Source organism: Homo sapiens, chromosome 9 (genome assembly GCF_000001405.40).
Source record: "Homo sapiens chromosome 9, GRCh38.p14 Primary Assembly".
In the NCBI taxonomy this organism is placed as follows: Eukaryota; Metazoa; Chordata; class Mammalia; order Primates; family Hominidae; genus Homo; species Homo sapiens.
Genome location: NC_000009.12, coordinates 68,306,253 through 68,323,847, shown reverse-complemented (window position 1 = coordinate 68,323,847; position 17,595 = coordinate 68,306,253). Strand labels below are relative to the sequence as shown.

The 17,595-nt window shown below is 45.4% G+C and overlaps 1 long non-coding RNA gene and 1 pseudogene across 1 annotated transcript; both read right to left on the bottom strand.

Moving 5' to 3' along the window:
* Window positions 1-11: 11 nt before the first annotated feature.
* LOC124902323 (putative uncharacterized protein FLJ45355) lies at window positions 12-1,384 on the bottom strand (annotated as a pseudogene).
* Window positions 1,385-12,023: 10,639 nt separating this feature from the next.
* On the bottom strand, window positions 12,024-17,316 carry LOC107987077 (uncharacterized). Its single transcript, XR_001746700.1, has 3 exons — window positions 16,024-17,316; window positions 14,245-14,250; window positions 12,024-12,156 (listed from the first exon to the last, which is right to left on the bottom strand). It is a non-coding gene; the product is annotated as an uncharacterized LOC107987077 (long non-coding RNA).
* Between the last annotated feature and the right edge of the window lie 279 nt (window positions 17,317-17,595).

Sequence of the window (17,595 nt, the reverse complement as noted above, 5' to 3'; positions counted from 1 at the left end):
TTCTAAGATCCTTAGGACCGACCTGGAGGGCTGTGGGTATTAGGTGTCCAAGAAGAAAATTCAGATCTGCCGACGACCGCAGGTACCTTACTTGGGATTTACTATTCGACAGGTGTCCGAAAGCAGCCCGGGATCCGAAAGAAAGCAGGTCATTTGCAATCTACCGAAGCCTAAAGGCACAAGGGTGGTGAGAGAATTCCTAGGAGCTGTGGGGTTTTGTAGACTGGGAATCCCAAACTTTGCAGTATTAGCCAAGCCTTTGTATGAGGTCACAATGGGGGCGGGGACCGGGAACTTTTGGAATGGGGATTCCAACAACAGCAAGTCTTTCATGACTTAAAGGAAAAACTTCTGAAAGCCCCAGCCGAGGGGCTACCCGATCTCACAAAGCCTTTTCCATTGTATGCGTCAGAGAGAAAAGATGGCAGCTGGACTTTTAACCCAAACTGTGGGGCCTTGGCTGAGGCCGGTGGCCTACATCTCTAAACAACTAGATAGGGATTCGAAAGGATGGCCCCCCTGTTTGAGGGCCTTCGCAGCAATTCCCTTGCTAGAACCAGATGCAAATAAGCTTACTCTTGGGCAAAACCAGAACAGAAAGGCCCTCCATGCTGAGGTGACTGAGAGCCAGCTCCTCTTCCCCTACTGGCTCTTAGGACCCCCATCGCAAGGGTGCGAGGCACCCCCGGCGAGGCGGGGACAGAGAGCCAGCCCCACTTCCCCCCCTTGCTCTTAGGACCCCCATCGCAGCGGGGTGAAGGACCACCCGCGAGGCAGGGACTGACAGCCAGCCCCTCTTCCCCCCCTGGCTATTAGGACACCTGTCGCAGGGGGGAGAGGCACCCCTCGCGAGGTGGGGACTGACAGCCAGCCCCTCTTCCCCCCCTGGCTATTAGGACACCTATCGCAGGGGGGAGAGGCACCCCTCGCGAGGTGGGGACTGAGAGCCAGCCCCTTTTCACCCCCTGGCTTTTAGGACCCCCATCGCAGCACGGGGAGGCATCCCCCGCGAGGCGGGGACTGAGAACCAGCCCCTCTTCCCCCGCTGGCTGTTGGGACCCCAATCGCAGGGGGGGGAGGCATCCCCCACGAGGCGTGGACTGAGAGCCAGCCCCTCTTCCCCCCCTGTCTCTTGGGACCCCCATCGCAGGCGGAGGAGGTACCCCCGGGAGGAGGGGACTGAGAGCCAGCCCCTCTCCCCTCCCTGGGTCTTGGGACCCCCATCGGAAGGGGCGGAGGCACCTCCCGCGAGGCGGGGACTGAGAGCCAGCCCCTCTTCCCTCCCTGGCTCTTGGGACCCCCATCGCAGTGGGGGGAGGCACCTCCCGCGAGGCGGGGACTGAGAGCCAGCCCCTCTTCCCCCCCCGGCTCTTAGGACCCCCATCGCAGTGGGGGGAGGCACCCCCCGCGAGACAGGGACTGCGAGCCAGCTCCTTTCCCCCCCTGGCTCTTAGGACCCCCATCGCAGGAGGAGGAGGCACCCCCCGCGAGGCGGGGACTGAGAGGCAGCCCCTCTTCCCCTGTGGCTCTTGGGACCCCCATAGCAGAGGGGGGAGGCATCCCTCGCGAGTCGGGGAATAAGAGCCAGGCCCTCTTCCCCCACTAGCTCTTAGGACCCCCATCGACGGGACCCCCCTTGATGCGGGGTGTAATAGCCAGCCCCTCTTCCCCCCCTGGCTCTTAGGACCCCCATCGCAAGGGGTTGAGACACCCCCCGCGATGCGGGGAGTAAGTGCCAGCCCCTCTTCCCTCCCTGGTTTTTAGGATCCGCGGTGGACTCACAGCCTGTTTACGATATTCGGAGTGATATCATCTCCCCCTCTGGAAATTATAAACTATTTCACAGATGGGGGTAGACCCTCGGTGTGCAGAGGGTGTACAGCCGTCTGTTTTGGGAGTAATATCATCGTCTTCCTCCCTGAATATTAAGAACAGTATCACAGCTGTGTTTCTACTGCAGGTGTGATTGGGCGTCACATCCTCCTCTCCCACGTGGAAATTATAACCGATATCAGTGGGGGCGTGCACACCTTCTGTGATATTTAAAGTGATATCATCCTCTTCCCTCCAGGATCATGAGAACAATATCCCTGGGGGTGTACACTTTCTGCGATTTTGGGAGTAATATCTCCCCCTCCGCCTTGGAATATTATTAAGGACCATCTCACACGGGGGTGTACACTTCCTGCCATATTGGGAGTAATATCGACCTCTCGGCCTCTGAATATTAGGAACAATATCACAGGGTGGGTGTACACCTCCTGCTCTGTTATGGGGAGTAATATCTATCTATTACGGGGAGTAATATCATCCTCTCCCTTTCAGGATGTTAATAACAATATCACAGGGTGGGTGATCACAGCCTGCGATACTGGAATTATTATCATCCTCTCCCCCTCGGGATACCAGGAACAATATCACAGAAGAGGTGTACACTCCCTGCGATTTTGGAAGTAATATCCTACGCTTCTTCCGTGAATACTAGGAGCAATATCACCGGGTGGCTGTACATTCATTGCTATGTTGGGAGTCATGTCATACTCTACTCCCTGGATATTAGGATCAGTGTCACAGGGTGAGTGTACACCTACTGAGATATTAAAACTAATATCATGCTCTCCATCCCTGGATATTAGGAACAATATCACGGGTAGGTGTACACCCCCTGCGGTATTAGGAGAAATAATACGATTAATTATTAAGCATCAATCTTAATAATATTATTAATTGTTAAACATCAGTCTTAATAATTATCAATGGTAATATTAATTAATAGTATAACGTTATTAATCATTAATGATTATTTTAAATGTACAATTATGCATGATTAAAATTATCTGTATTAATGTCATTTTTCAATAATATTAGTTATTAATCTTAATATTAATTATTGTTTTATTACCAACATCACTTATGACTGATTTATGTAACATTGATTAATAATATCATTATTTTATTATTAATAGTGATATTGCTATTATTAATAGTAATTGTTAATATTTTCATCCATATTCACTTTTACTATCTCTATTGCAATTATTAATATCGATGATTACTATTAATTATTAATATATTTATTAATATTAATAATTAATATAACTGTTCCCGATATCTGTGGGGGAGAGGATATTACTCCCGATGTCGCTGAAAGTGTACACCCCTCTATGATGTTTCTCCTAATTGCCAGGATGTAGAGGATGACATTATTGAAAATGTCGCTGCGGGTGTACCTCCGTTCAGTCATCTTGTTCCTAATGTCCTGGGTGGGAGCGGATGATATGACTCCCAATATCGCAGGGGGCGTAGACATCCCCCGTGATACTGTCCCTAACGTCCAAAGGTGGAGAGGATGATATTTCTTCCAATTTCGCAGGGGGTGTACACCACCCCTATGATATTGATCCTAATATCCAGGGGGCGAGAGGATGATCTTAGTCTCACTATTGCAGGAGGTGTACACTCCCTAGGGATATTGTTCCTAATACTCAGGGATGGAGAGGAAGATCTCATTCCCAATATAGCAGGGAGTGGACACCCCTTCTGTGACATTGTTCCTAATAGCCAGCGCGGCAGAGGAAGATATTACCCCCAATATCGCAGGGGGTGTGCGCCCCCTTGTGACATTGTTCCTTATATCCTGGGAGGGAGAGGATGATACTGGTGACAATGTCGCAGCGGCTGTACACACCCACTGTGATATTGTTCCGAATATCCCGAGGGGGAGAAAATGATATTACTCCCAATATCGCACGGGGTGTACATCCTCCCGTGATATTGTTTCTTATATTCAGGGGGAGAGGATGATATGACTCCCAATATCGCAGGGGTTGTGCACACCTCCTGCGATATTGTTCCTAATATCCCGAAGGGGAGAGCCAAATATTACTGTCAATATCGCAGGGGGTGTACACCTCTTTGGTAATATTGTTCTTAATATCCATGATGGGAGAGGATGATATTACTCCCAATATCGCAAGAAGTGTACAGCCGCCTGTGATATAGTTCCTAATATCTAGGGGGAGAGAGGATGATATTACTGCCCATATCGCATGAGTTTTAAAACCCCTTCCATATTTTGCCTACAATCCCGAGGGGAGAGGACGATACTACTCCCAATATCGAAGAAGGTGTACAACCCCCTGGGACATTATTGCCAATATCCACGTTGGGAGACGATGGCATTACGCCCAATATCGCAGGGGATGTACACCCACCCCGGGATATTGTTCCTTATATAGAGAGGGGGAGGGGATGATATTACTCCCAATATCGCAGGGGCTGTACACCCCTCCTGTGATATTGTTCTTAGTATCCTAGGAAAGAGAGGATGATACTACACCCAATATCTCAGGGGGTGTACACCCACCTCCTTCAGATATTGTTCTTAATGTACTCCACCTCCCCTGACCAGGGATGTTGTTCCTCATATCCAGGGGAAGAGAGGCTAATATCACGCCCAATATCGCAGGGGGTGTACACACCCTCTGTGATGTTGTTCCTAGTATCCAAAGGTAGAGACGATGATATTACTGGCCATATCGCAGAGGGTGTACGCCCGTCTGTGATATTGTTTTTGATATTCAGTGGGGGGAGAGGATTACATTAATCCCAACATGGCAGAAGGTGTACAGACCCCGTGATATAGTTCCTAATGTACAGGGAGAAGAGAATAACATTACTCTCAATATCGCAGGGAGCGTAACCCCCACGACCCCGGAAATGGTTCCTAATGTACAGGGAGAAGAGAATAACATTACTCTCAATATCGCAGGGAGTGTAACCCCCACGCCCCCCGTATATTGTTCCTAATATGCAGCGGGGTAGAGGCTGATATTACTCCCAATATCGCAGAAGATGCACACACACCTGTGATATACTTCCTAATATCCAGCGGGAAAAGGCTGATATTACTCTGGATCTCGCAGTGGGTGTACACCCCCAAGCCCCCCGGGGTATTGTTCCTAATATCTAGGTGGGAAGATGGTGATATTGCTGACAATATCGAAGGGGGTGTACAACTCTTCTGTGATATGGCTCCTGATATCCAGGGGGTGAGTGGATGATATTACTCTCAATAAAGTAGGAACTGTACACCACCCTGTGATTTTGTCCTTAATAACCACATGGGGAGAGGTGATATTACTCCCAATATTACAAGGGGTGTACACCTCGTCTGTGATATTTTTTCTTGTATCCAGGAAAGGACAAGATGATATTACGACCAGTATCGAAGACATGTACAGCCCCATGGGATATTGTTCTAAATATACAGCTTGAAAAAGGATCCGATGACTCCCAATATAAGAAGGGGTGCACACCCCGCCTGTGATATGAATCGTAAAATCTAGAAGAAGAGTGAATGACATTGCTTTCAAAAACACACGGGGTGTACACCCCGTCTCTGATGTTGTTCCTATCATGTAAAGGAAGAGATGATGATATTACTCCCAATACCGCAGAAGGTATATACCCCCTGTGATACTGTGCGTCACAACTAGTGGGGGAGAGCATGATATTACTTCAAATATGACAGCGGCTTTACACCCCATCTGTGATATTACTCCTAATTTCCAGTAGCAAAAGTAGGATGTGCCTCCGAATAGGCCTGTGATATTTCCCCGACTATTTAGGGAAACACAGGATGACATGACCCCAAATGCCGCAAAAAGTGTACACCCATTGTGTGATATGGTCCGTATATGCGGAGGTGCAGAGGATATTAGTTTTCATATCGCAGGCTGTGTACACACACTCTGTGAAATTGTTCCTAATAGCAGGAAAAAAGAGAATGCTCACAACGGACACAGGTCACATCGCAGGGGTTGAGGCACCCCCCGCGGTATGGGGAGTAAGGGCCACCCCCTTTCCCCCCCAGCTATTTATTATGATCCACATTGCAGGGGTGTGAGGCACCCCCTGAGATATGGGGAGTAAGAGCCACCCCCTTCCCCCCCCCCCGGCTATTTATTACGATCCACATGTCGGGGGTGAGGCACCCTCCGCGATATGGGTAGTAACAGCCACCCCTTCTCCCCCCCCCTCGCTATTATGATCCACCTCGCAGTGGGGTGAGGCACCCCCCGCGATATGGGGAGTAAGAGCCACCTCCTCTCCCCCCCCGAGTTATTACGATCCACGGTGGACTCACAGCCTGTTTACTATATTGGGGGTAATATCTCCCCCTCTGGAAATTATGTGCTGTTTGACAGATGGGTGTACACCCTCGGTGTGCAGGTTGTACACCCGTCTGTATTGAGAGTAATATCATCCTCTTCCACCCTGAATATTAAGAACCGTATCACAGGTGTGTTTCTACTCCCTGCGATATTGGGTGTCATATCCTCCTCTCCTACACTGAAATTAGAAACAATATCAGTTGGGGCGTGTACACCTTCTGTCATATTTAAACTAATATCATCCTCTTCTCTCCAGGATCATGGGAACAACATCCCTGGGGGGGGGTGTACACTTTCTGCGATAAATGTAGTAATATCACCCCCTCTGCCTTGGAATATTATTAAGGACCATCTCACACGGGGGTGTACACTTCCTGCGATATTGAGAGTAATATCGACCTCTCTGCCTCTGAATATTAGGAACAGTATCACACGGTGGGTGTACACCTCCTGCTCTATTATGGAGAGTAATATCTATCTGTTATAGGAAGTAATATCGTCCTCTCCCTTTCAGGATATTTATAACAATATCACAGGGTGAGTGAACACAGCCTGCGATACTTTAATTTTTATCATCCTCTCCCCGGCGGGATACCAGGAACAATGTCACAGAAGAGGTGTACACTCCCTGCGATATTGGGAGTAATATCATACTCTTCTTCCGTGAATATTAGGAGCAATATCACCGGGTGGCTGTACATTAATTGCTATGTTGGGAGTCATGTCATGCTCTATCCCCTGGATATTAGGATCAGTGTCACAGGGTGAGTGTACACCTACTGAGATATTAAAACTAATATCATGCTCTCCATCCCTGGATATTAGGAACAATATCACAGGTAGGTGTACACCCCCTACGGTATTAGGAGAAATAATATGATTAATTATTAAGCATCAGTCTTAATAATATTACTAATTATTAAACATCAGTCTTAATAATTATCAATGGTAATATTAATTAATAGTATAACGTTATTAATCATTAATGATTATTTTAAATATGATTATGCATGGTTAAAATTAATTATTAGTATTGTCATTTTTCAATATTCGTTATTAACCTTAATATTAATTATTGTTTTATTACCAACATCACTTATTGATTTAATTAAGTAACATTAATTACCGATATCATTATGTTATTATTAATAGTGAGGTTGCTGTTAATTATTAATAGTAAACATTAATATTTTTAATCCGTATTAACTTTTACTATCTTTATAGTAATTATTTATATCGATGATTTCTATTAATTGTTATTATATTTATGAATATTAATACTTAATACAATTGTTCCCGATATCCGAGGGGTAGAGGATGTTACTCCCAATATCACAGAAAGTGTACACCCCTCTATGATGTTATTCCTAATTGCCAGGGAGTAGAGGATGACATTATGAAAAATATCGCAGTGTGTATACATCCCTTCGGTCATCTTTTTTCCTAATATCGTGGGTGGGAGAGGATGATATGACTCCCAATACCGCAGGGGGCGTAGACTTCCCCCGTGATATTGTCCCTATCATCCAAAGGTGGAGAGGATGATATTTCTTCCAGTTTCGCAGGGGATGTACACCACCCCTGTGATATTGATCCTAATATCCAGGGGGCAAGAGGATGATGTTAGTCTCAATATTGCAGGAGGTGTACACTCCCTAGGGATATTGTTCCTAATATCCAGGGACAGAGAGGATGATCTCACTCCCAATGTAGCAGGGAGTGGACACCTCTTCTGTGACATTGTTCCTAATGGCCAGCGGGGGAGGGGAAGATATTACCCCCAATATCGCAGGAGGTGTACACCCCTTGTGACATTGTTCCTTATATCCTGGGAGGGAGAGGATGATACCAGTGGCAATGTCGCAGCGGCTGTACACACCCATTGTGATATTGTTCCGAATATCTCGAGGGGGAGAAAATCATATTACTCCCAATATCCCAGGGGGTGTACATCCTCCTGTGACATTGTTCCTTATATTCAGGGGGAGAAGGCGATATCACTCCCAATATCACAGGGGTTATACACACCTCCTGCGATATTGTTCCTAATATCCCGAAGGGGAGAGCATAATATTACTCTCAGTATCGCAGGGGGTGTACACCTCCTTTGGAATATTGTTCTTAATATCCATGATGGGAGAGGATGATATTACTCCCAATATCGTAACAAGTGTACAGCCGCCTGTGATATAGTTCCTAATATCTAGGTGGAGAGGATGATATTACTGCCCATATCGCATGAGCTGTAAAACCCCTTCCATATTTTGCCTACAATCCCGAGGGGAGAGGACGATACTACTCCCAATATCGAAGAAGGTGTACACCCCCCTGGGACATTATTCCCAATATCCACGTTGGGAGATGATGACATTACGCCCAATATCGCAGGGGATGTACACCCACCCTGGGATATTGTTCCTTATATCGAGAGGGGGATAGGGTGATATTATTCCCAATATCGCAGGGGCTGTACACCCCTCCTGTGATATTGTTCTTAGTATCCTAGGAAAGAGAGGATGATACTACACCCAATATCTCAGGGGGTGTACACCCACCTCCTTCAGATATTGTTCTTAATGTACTCCACCTCCCCCGACCAGGGATATTGTTCCTTATATCCAGGGGAAGAGAGGCTAACATTATGCCCAATATCGCAGGGGGTGTACACACCCTCTGTGATGTTGTTCCTAGTATCCAAAGGTAGAGACGATGATATTACTGGCCATATCGCAGGGGGTGTACACCTCTCTTGTGATACTGTTCTTAATATTTAGGGAGGGAGACAATGATAGTACTGTCCATATTACTGGGGTCACAGCAGCCCCGTGACGTTGTTTTTAATATTCAGTTTGGGAGAGGATGATAATAATTTCAATATAACAGGGGACACCCCCCCCCCCGTGATGTTGTCCCTATTGTCCAAGGGAAGAGAAATGATATGACTCACAATATGTCAAGGGGTGTACATCCCCTGTATAATATTCTTCCTAATATCCAGGGGGGATTAGAATGATATTACTCCCAATATCACAGGGGGTGTACGCGACCCCTTTTATATTGTTTCTAATATCTCGGGAGGGAGAGGATGATATTACTCCCAATATTGTAGGGGTGTACACCCCTCCCGTGACATTGTTTTTAATATTTAGGTAGGGAGTGGATGATATTACTCTCAATATCTCAGAGGGTTTACACTCTTCCTGGGATACGGTTTCTAATATTAAGTGGGAGAGAGGATGATATTATTCCCAGTATCGCAGGGGGTGTAGATGTCCTGTTATTTTGTTCCTAATATCCAGGTTGGGAGAGGATGATATTACTGCCTATATCGTAGGAGTTGTACACCCCATCAGTGATATTATTCCTCATATTCAGGGGAAAAGAGAATGACATTACTCCCAATAGCGCAGGAGGTGTACACACCCCTTTGATATTGTTCCTAATACGCAGTGGAGGAGACGATGATGTTACTGGCCATATCGCGAGGGGTGTACACCTCCTCTGTGATATTGTTTTTAATATCCAGGGGTTAGAGGATGACATTACTCCCATGATCGTAGTGGGTGTACGCCAATTCTGTGGTATTGTTCTTAATATCCAGGGAGGGAGAGGATGATATTACTGTCACTATCGCAAGGGGTAGACACTCCTTCTTTGATATGGTTCCTAATATCCAGGGGGGAGAGTATGATATTAATCCCAAAATCGCTGTGGGTATACACCCCTTTCTGATATTGTTCCTAATATGCCGGGGGAGAGTCTATGATATTACTGCCCATATCACAGGGTGTGTACACCAGAACTGCTATATTGTTTCTTATTTCCAGCAATGAAAAGTTGATATTACTCCCAAAATGGAATGGGCTGTAAACCCCCCATAAGATATTGTTCCTAATATCCAGGGGGAAAAGGATGATATTACTTTCAATGTTGCAGCAGGTGTATAATCTGCCTGTTACATTGTTCCTAATATCTGGGGTGGGGGCGGCGGGGTGAGAACGATATTACTCGCAATATCTCAGAGGGTGTACACTGCCCCTGTGATATTGTTCTAAATATCCACTGGGGTAGAAAATCATATTACTCCCAATATCGCAGGTGGTGTAAACGCCCCCCGATATTTTTTCTAACATCCAGGTGAGGTAGGATGATATTACTCCCAATATCACAAGCGGTGTACACACCTTCTTTGATATTTTTCCTACTATTTACTTGTGGAGAGGATGATATTACTCCCAGTGTCAAAAGAAGTGTACAAGCCCCCTGTGATATTGTTCCTAATATCCAGGTTAAAAGAGGATGATATTACCCCCAATATCGCAGGGGGTTTGCTGTACACTCCGCCTGTGATATTATTTCTAATATCCAGGGGAAGAGAGAATAATATTACTCCCAATATCGCAGGGGCTGTACACACCTTGTGATATCTTTCCTAATATCAATGAGGGGAGGAGATGATATTACCACAAATATCAGAAGAGGTGTACACCTTTCCTGTGATATTGTTCCTAATCTCCATTTTGGGAGAGGATGATATTACTCACAATATCGCAGTGGTTATACACTTCCCCTGTGATATTATTCCTAATATCCAAGTTGGGAGAGGATGATCTTACTCCCAATATCGCTGGGGGTATACACCCCTTCTGTGATATTGTTCCTAACATCCACAGGGGAAGAGATTAATATTACTCCCAATATCCCAGGGGGTACACATCCCCACTGTTATATTGTACCTAATATCAAGGGGTGGAGAAAATGATATTACTCCCAATAGCGCCGTGTGTATACACCCCTCCTGTGATATTGTCCCTAGTATCCAGGGGCTAAAGATAGATATTACTCCCAATATCCAGGGGATAGAAGTTGATATTAAACCGAATATCACAGTGGGTGTACACAACTCCTGTCATATTGTTCCAAATATCCAGGCAGAGAGAGGATAATATTACTCAAAACATTCCTGGGGGTGTACACAGCCCTCTGTGATATTGTTTCTAATATACAGAAAGGGAGAGGATGATATTACTCTCAATAAACAGAAGGGTACAATTCCCATGTGATGTTGTTCTGAATATCTAGGGTGAGAGAGGATGATATTACTCCCAACATTGCAAAAGTTGTAAACACCTTCTGTGATATTGTTCCTAATATCCGGGGAGAAAGAAGATGATATGACTTTCAATATCGCAGGGGGTGTGCACCCCCCTCCCCGTGATATTGTTCCTAATATCCGGGGGAAAGAGGATGATGTTACTCCCAGGATCGCAGGGGGGTGTACACCCCCCTGTGATATTGTTTCTAACATCCAGAGGGGGAGAAGTTGATATTACTTCAAACATCGCCGGGGGTGTACACCCCACCTGTGATATTGTACTTAATATTTAGCGGGAGAGAGGGGGGTGATATTACCAATAACGTAGGGGAAAGTCAACCCCCTCTCCCCCGCTGGATATTACGAGCCATATGACAGGGAGGTGTCCACCCCCCACCATATGGAGAGTAATATCACCCTGTTCTCCCCCCACCTCCAGCTTCTTTCTGCTAAGGTCCCCTTGCCCCTCCAGGTGGCTTTCTTGGGCAAGGCATAAAAGAAATTACGTGGTTTTCTTGCTCAGATTTGTTCGCAAGTCCACGAGAAATACTCAGGGAGTCTTGCAAAAATCCGGTGTTACAGCAGCTAAGTCAGCCAGCTAGCCGTGTCCTACAGTTGAGATGTCATGTCATGATTCCCCTCTCTTTTACCTGCTGACTCCTCCTCAGCCTTCCGGACTCTGCTTAGGTGCCTCTTCCTCCAGGTTGTCCGCTCCTGTCCCCACCCTTCCTTACCTGCTCTCCTATACCATGGGCTGATCCAGCGCAGCATTTCTCACACATCTTACAGCTGCCTGCCTCCAGTCTGTATCCGGACTCCACAACCTGAAGGTAACGGCTGCATCTGCCTTGATCATCATTGTATCCCTTGCTCCTACAACAGCACCTAACACAGAGTAATTCCTCAGTCAACATTTTCTGGATGGGTGAACAAAAAATAAATCTACACATCAAGTGAAAATTAGGCTGAGCAGAAATGAAGCAAGTGATAAACTACAAGAGAAGGTTATACCTGTTATTCTAGGCATGCTAATTCTAATTTTAGAATTGCTGTGGTTATTTCATGTTACTCTGCCAGGCTTCAGTGTTAGGCAAGGGCAATTCTCTGTGTAAGCAGGGATAGCTTTCCTGAAAGGTCCTGTTGGTCCTGGGAAGTGATGGTACATGTGACTCATCCCTCAAACCAGAAGGCTAAGCTAAACTAGCAGGAGAGCTGCAGCAGGAACCTTCTGGCAGGAAAGAAACAGCATGCTCTGTGTACCACCCGTGTGTGACCGGAAATAAAGGAGGCCCACCATGTGAAGACTGACCAGGACGCAGAGAGAAGGACGTCAGGCAAGATTCCACCCGTGCTTAGGGACACAACATGTTTATTAGCATCATTAAGTACTAGCTGACATGCATAGAGCATTGAGTATGTGCCAGGCACTGTGCTAAGCACTTCACATACACTATTTCATGTGATCCCCACCATGGCCCTATAAGGTGAAACTTATAAATATCACCATTATATAGATGGGGAAATTGAGGCTTGGAGAGGTTAAGTTGTTTGCCTGAGGTCACAAAGCTGGTAAGCAGCAGAGCTGGAATCCAAACCAACAGAAATTCCATCTAGATACCCAACTCCTCACTGCCGTCTATCCTTGGAAACTAGACTAGTCTCCAAGGAAACATGAATCTACATTTTCTTTCAACTAATAAGAGCTCTTTCCTTATGGTAATTATTTAAATAGTTTTAATAAAAATTTAAAATCTATTTCAAGATTAAAGTTTCAAAGCCATCAAACATCAAATATATATGAAAATACATTTGTATATATTATAAACAGATATATGACGTGACATGAAGTGCTGGATCCAGTGCATCAGAAAATACACGCAAATATAAAATACCCGACAGCATTATGTAAAACATCAGCTGCTTGCCAAATCGGCATTAAATACTTAAGCACTGTGACCTGTTGCTTAAAGTATTACAAATCCAGCCTTATCGAAAAATCTCTATTTGTCCTAGGAAACTAATACTTTTTAAAAACAATAATTTGGTAATTTTAATAATATTTAGATCTATCTAAACTTAAAGCCTATATATTTACCACCCTTTTACATGCTTACCAGTATTACAGACACAATAAATTTTATCAGGTATTTTTGATAATGTGCTAGGAATTGTTTGAAATATAAAGAAGAATAAGATTTCGTTTTCACCATCTCAGAGATTCCAGATAGTGGTGGACACAGAAACCCGTGAAAATAACTGCAGGATGAAATAGACGAAATTATAGAAGCCCTATGTACCATGGAAAAATGGACATTGACATGGAAATTTTATTTCATATGCATACTCTTTAAAGAAAGAAGAAGCCTAAAAAAGTTAGCTACCTTTGGTTTTTATTACTTATGTCTTACACTCAGGTGAACTTTTTTCTGTCTAATCTAATATCATTCAAATCCTGAGTCCTTTTAATTAAGTTATCCTAAAATGAATTTTCATGAACACAGAATTTGTGCTATTACTCTATCTGCACCTCATGGATATTACCACATTTTAGATTTTATGTTTTAAAACACAAAACAATATAAAACCTAAAGTTTTAACATAAAATGTCTTTGGATCTTCAACTAAAATACTAAAGATATAAAAAACTTTATTCTCCTCAAGATAAAACTAGATTTAAAATTGTCAGTGAAATAGTTGATTGATCATTTATATTTCTATAAATATATGGAAAATAATCTATTTTTTAATTTTAAGACATTACAATTTTAGATTGTATTTGCATTTAGGAAAATTTCACATAATCTTTACCAGATCCATGCTTACTCTGATAAAAATTTGTTTTTTCAATAGTTGATTCTTAAAAATATCTTGACTAATCCTTCTCCCTCTACAAACAATATTATTATTTGCCAATATTCAAAAGTCTGAATAAACGACCTTATCCCTGGGAATATCTTGCCAAAAAACTATTACCTGCAGCTACAAAGTTCAGAATGTCAACTTCTTCAGAACAAACAGTTCAGTTTCTCCCATAAAAAATGCAAGGGAAACAAAAAAAGAGGATTGAGGAAATCTAAAAGAGATATAATAGCCCATATCAACCAAACACAATACGTAACCCTTATTAGCATTCTAATTCAAACCAACCAACTAAACAAAAAGTTTTTAGACAATTGAAGATATTTAAATATTGCCTGGATAAACCGATGCTATTAATGGATTATTTAGGTGTGATAATGGTATTGTGGTTACATTGATGGGAATCTTCTTTTTTATAAATGGGGTCTTGCTGTGTTGCTCAGGGTGGTCTTGAACTCCTGGCCTAAAGTGATCCTCCAACCTCTGCCTCCCAAAGAGCTGGGATTACAGGGAGGAGCCACTGCATCCAGTCTCATTGATGGAATTATTATCTTTTAGAGAAATATTCAAAAATACAATACAATGATAGACTATCTGGGATTTGATTCAAAATAATTCAGTGGGGAGGGGACTGTCAGCAGATAAAGAAGACACAAGGTTGGCCCAGAGGAGAAGTACATACAGGTTAATTATACTAATCTCTTTATAAACATTGTTTGAAATATGACATAATGTATCCTATACAACTGATACCTTGAGTAACACAATAATAGTCCCCTTAATTTTAGGAACTACTGGTCATAAATATGCCCTTACATATAGACATCTCCTCTATACATAGCAAAATCACATTATTTGACAAAAAGGAAATCTCTTAGGCTACGTTTAATCTTATTGTTCTCTTTGCCTGGATTTGGGAATAGAAACTGCTTCACTGGCTAAGTAAATCATAACTGTCCCAAAATATTCTTAATTACTGATTTCAATAAACATATCCCTTCGTTCTAAGAACAACTAAGAAAATGAAGTTTATGTTCAGGTAAACCTGACAATGTTAAGGTAGTTGAGTAACAGGGAAGTAATGATTAACTGAATTTCATACTGGATTCTCAAATCCTTTTTCTTTTTCTACTCTAATGTTTCCTTTGGATGGGGCGAATTCTAGTATTGTTAGCGATCACCTATGTAACTTTTTTGCAGGTGGTGTATATGGAATCAATGAATGCTTAAAACCAATTAAAAATAATTTCAGTGATTACATGAAAACACAGCTAGAAAAACTAAAGTATTTTTGTAGAAATTACGAGAAGGTTACATTAACAGTCAGAATAAGGTTACTATTTAGACTGTAATCAGGTGTCAATGTGGAAAGAAATTTCTGAGCATTTTTCCGGAAGGCTGGGGAGGAATGAGAATCATGACTCTCCACACTTCCAATAAAATGTGGTGAAGGACTGGTGCAAACTCTCAGAAGCCACCATTTGCTAAATCTCCCCGCCAGCCTTGTTAGTCCTTATCGCCGTTTGATTCCATTATTTTTCTCGTGGTTTCTGCTGTTTCTCTAAATTGTCTAACGACCGTTATTAAGTAAAAATGAATGAAACGGGGCCGTGTGATCTAGGCAGCCTGGAGATGAGATTTTGGAATCATAAGCTACATTCCAATGTATAAACAGATTTTATTCATTTTGGATACTCAATGTACACAGAATCGGCACTGTAGAATGTGACTGCCCTGCCAGAAGGCATCTGCTTGGGACTTGCTGGCAACCGATAGTCCCCTCTGCTTGCAACCCTCGGCCAGCCGCCGGGGACCCCTAGTCCACCGGTTCCTGGACGTTCTCTCTACTCTCCAGTGGCCACCACCTCCACTCCCACTCCTATAGTCCCGAACCTGCTGGCCTGAGGGTTCGCAGAGGGCCAGTCGTTGCGACAGCCCCGCGTCCCGGCCCCCTCGTCTCTTGGACCTTCACCCCAGGCCAGCGCAGCCCAGCTTCCTGGGCAAGTTTCACGCTACCAGGATCCAGTGCGGGGCGACGAAGTGGAGAGCTGTATCAAGACTCCGAAGAGAAATTCCGGCTTCGCGGGGCGGCGCGGAGCCCGGAGCTGCCCACCTCCGCCGCCTTGGGAAGGCGGCTGGGATTAGAAGGTGGCTTCGGGCCCGCAGGGAGTCCAGGGGAGGGATTCCCGGTACCGCCGGCACCTACGTCGAGGGGTGCCTGGGTTCTTGGGGACCATGAGAGGAAAAAGAACGAAAATCACACCAGGGAGGAAGAACGCGCAGAACGCCCCTCTGTGAAGCAGAGTGCTCTAGTCAGGCGTGAGCCGGAGCGCGGTCTGGGGGAGTCTGGCGGCGCCGTTCCCCGCACTCGGCAGAGGCTTGCAAGAAAACGCACAGCCCAGGGCGTGGGGTAGGGAACTGACCGCGCGAGTCTTTCGGCGCGTCTGGGTCTCGGGGAGAGAAAAGCGCTTCCTGGCACCGGGGGCGGTGGGACAGAGGCCAGGAGGAAGAAATCCGGGCCCTGGCCCAGGTCAGGCTTCCACCCCTGCGACCCGCAAGAGGCCCAGGCAGGAAAGGTGGCGTGCGCGAGTGGAGTTAGTGGTTCAGAAAGCAAACCTGGCCAGGTGCTACTGCCTGAGGGTCGTCGGGCGAGTTTCTTAATTTCTCCGAGTTACTTATTTCTAGTCTGGAAAACGGAGAATTCCATAGTGTCTTCTTCAGTGAGTGCTGGGAGTGCTAAAGGAGGATCCGGTGCCTGGCAGACCAGGAGCAGGGGGGAAACAGTTGGCCGATACTGTTACTATTATCAGCGTTATTAGCGGCCAGGACAGTGTGGGGGGGGGGGGCGGGGGTAAGGGGCCTCCCCGCGCCTCCCAGCCCTTCGCGCTCGGCTCCAGCTCTTTGGCTTCCTTCCCTGGGCAGCTCTAGGCTTAGCTCTCAGCCATTTCTCAAGAAGACGATCCCGAGGGTCGAAGACCACCCTTGACCCTTGACCATGGACTCTTCGTGTAACTTGGAAGAGCCGTGATTTTAAAACCCAGCCTCAGGGTTACAGAAGCCCGAGATCTGGGAGGCATCCGGGACCTCCCTCCCAGAACCACAGGGACCCGGCCTGGGATCCAGAGTGTGGCCTCTTGCTCTGTGCAGTCAGGAAGGCGGCCAGGTCTGGTCACCGCGCCAAGCACTACGCACCCCTGGGACGCGTCGTTGCGGGGGAGTTGGGGGGGCTGGGGCGCCTCCACGACGCCTGGTCTGCCCGGCAAGTGCTTGGTGTCGTTGGTGGGTTCGTAGCTGCGACAGGTAAACGTCCGTTCCGCGAACCGGGCAGGGCAACCCCTGCGGGTCGCACCCGAAGGCCGGACCTCTCCAAGCTGCCTGGGTGCTTCCAAACAGGTGGACCCGAAGCTCCTGTTTGATCGGAGAATAACGTTTAATTTACTCCGCCACTGAATTGATTGTTTAAAT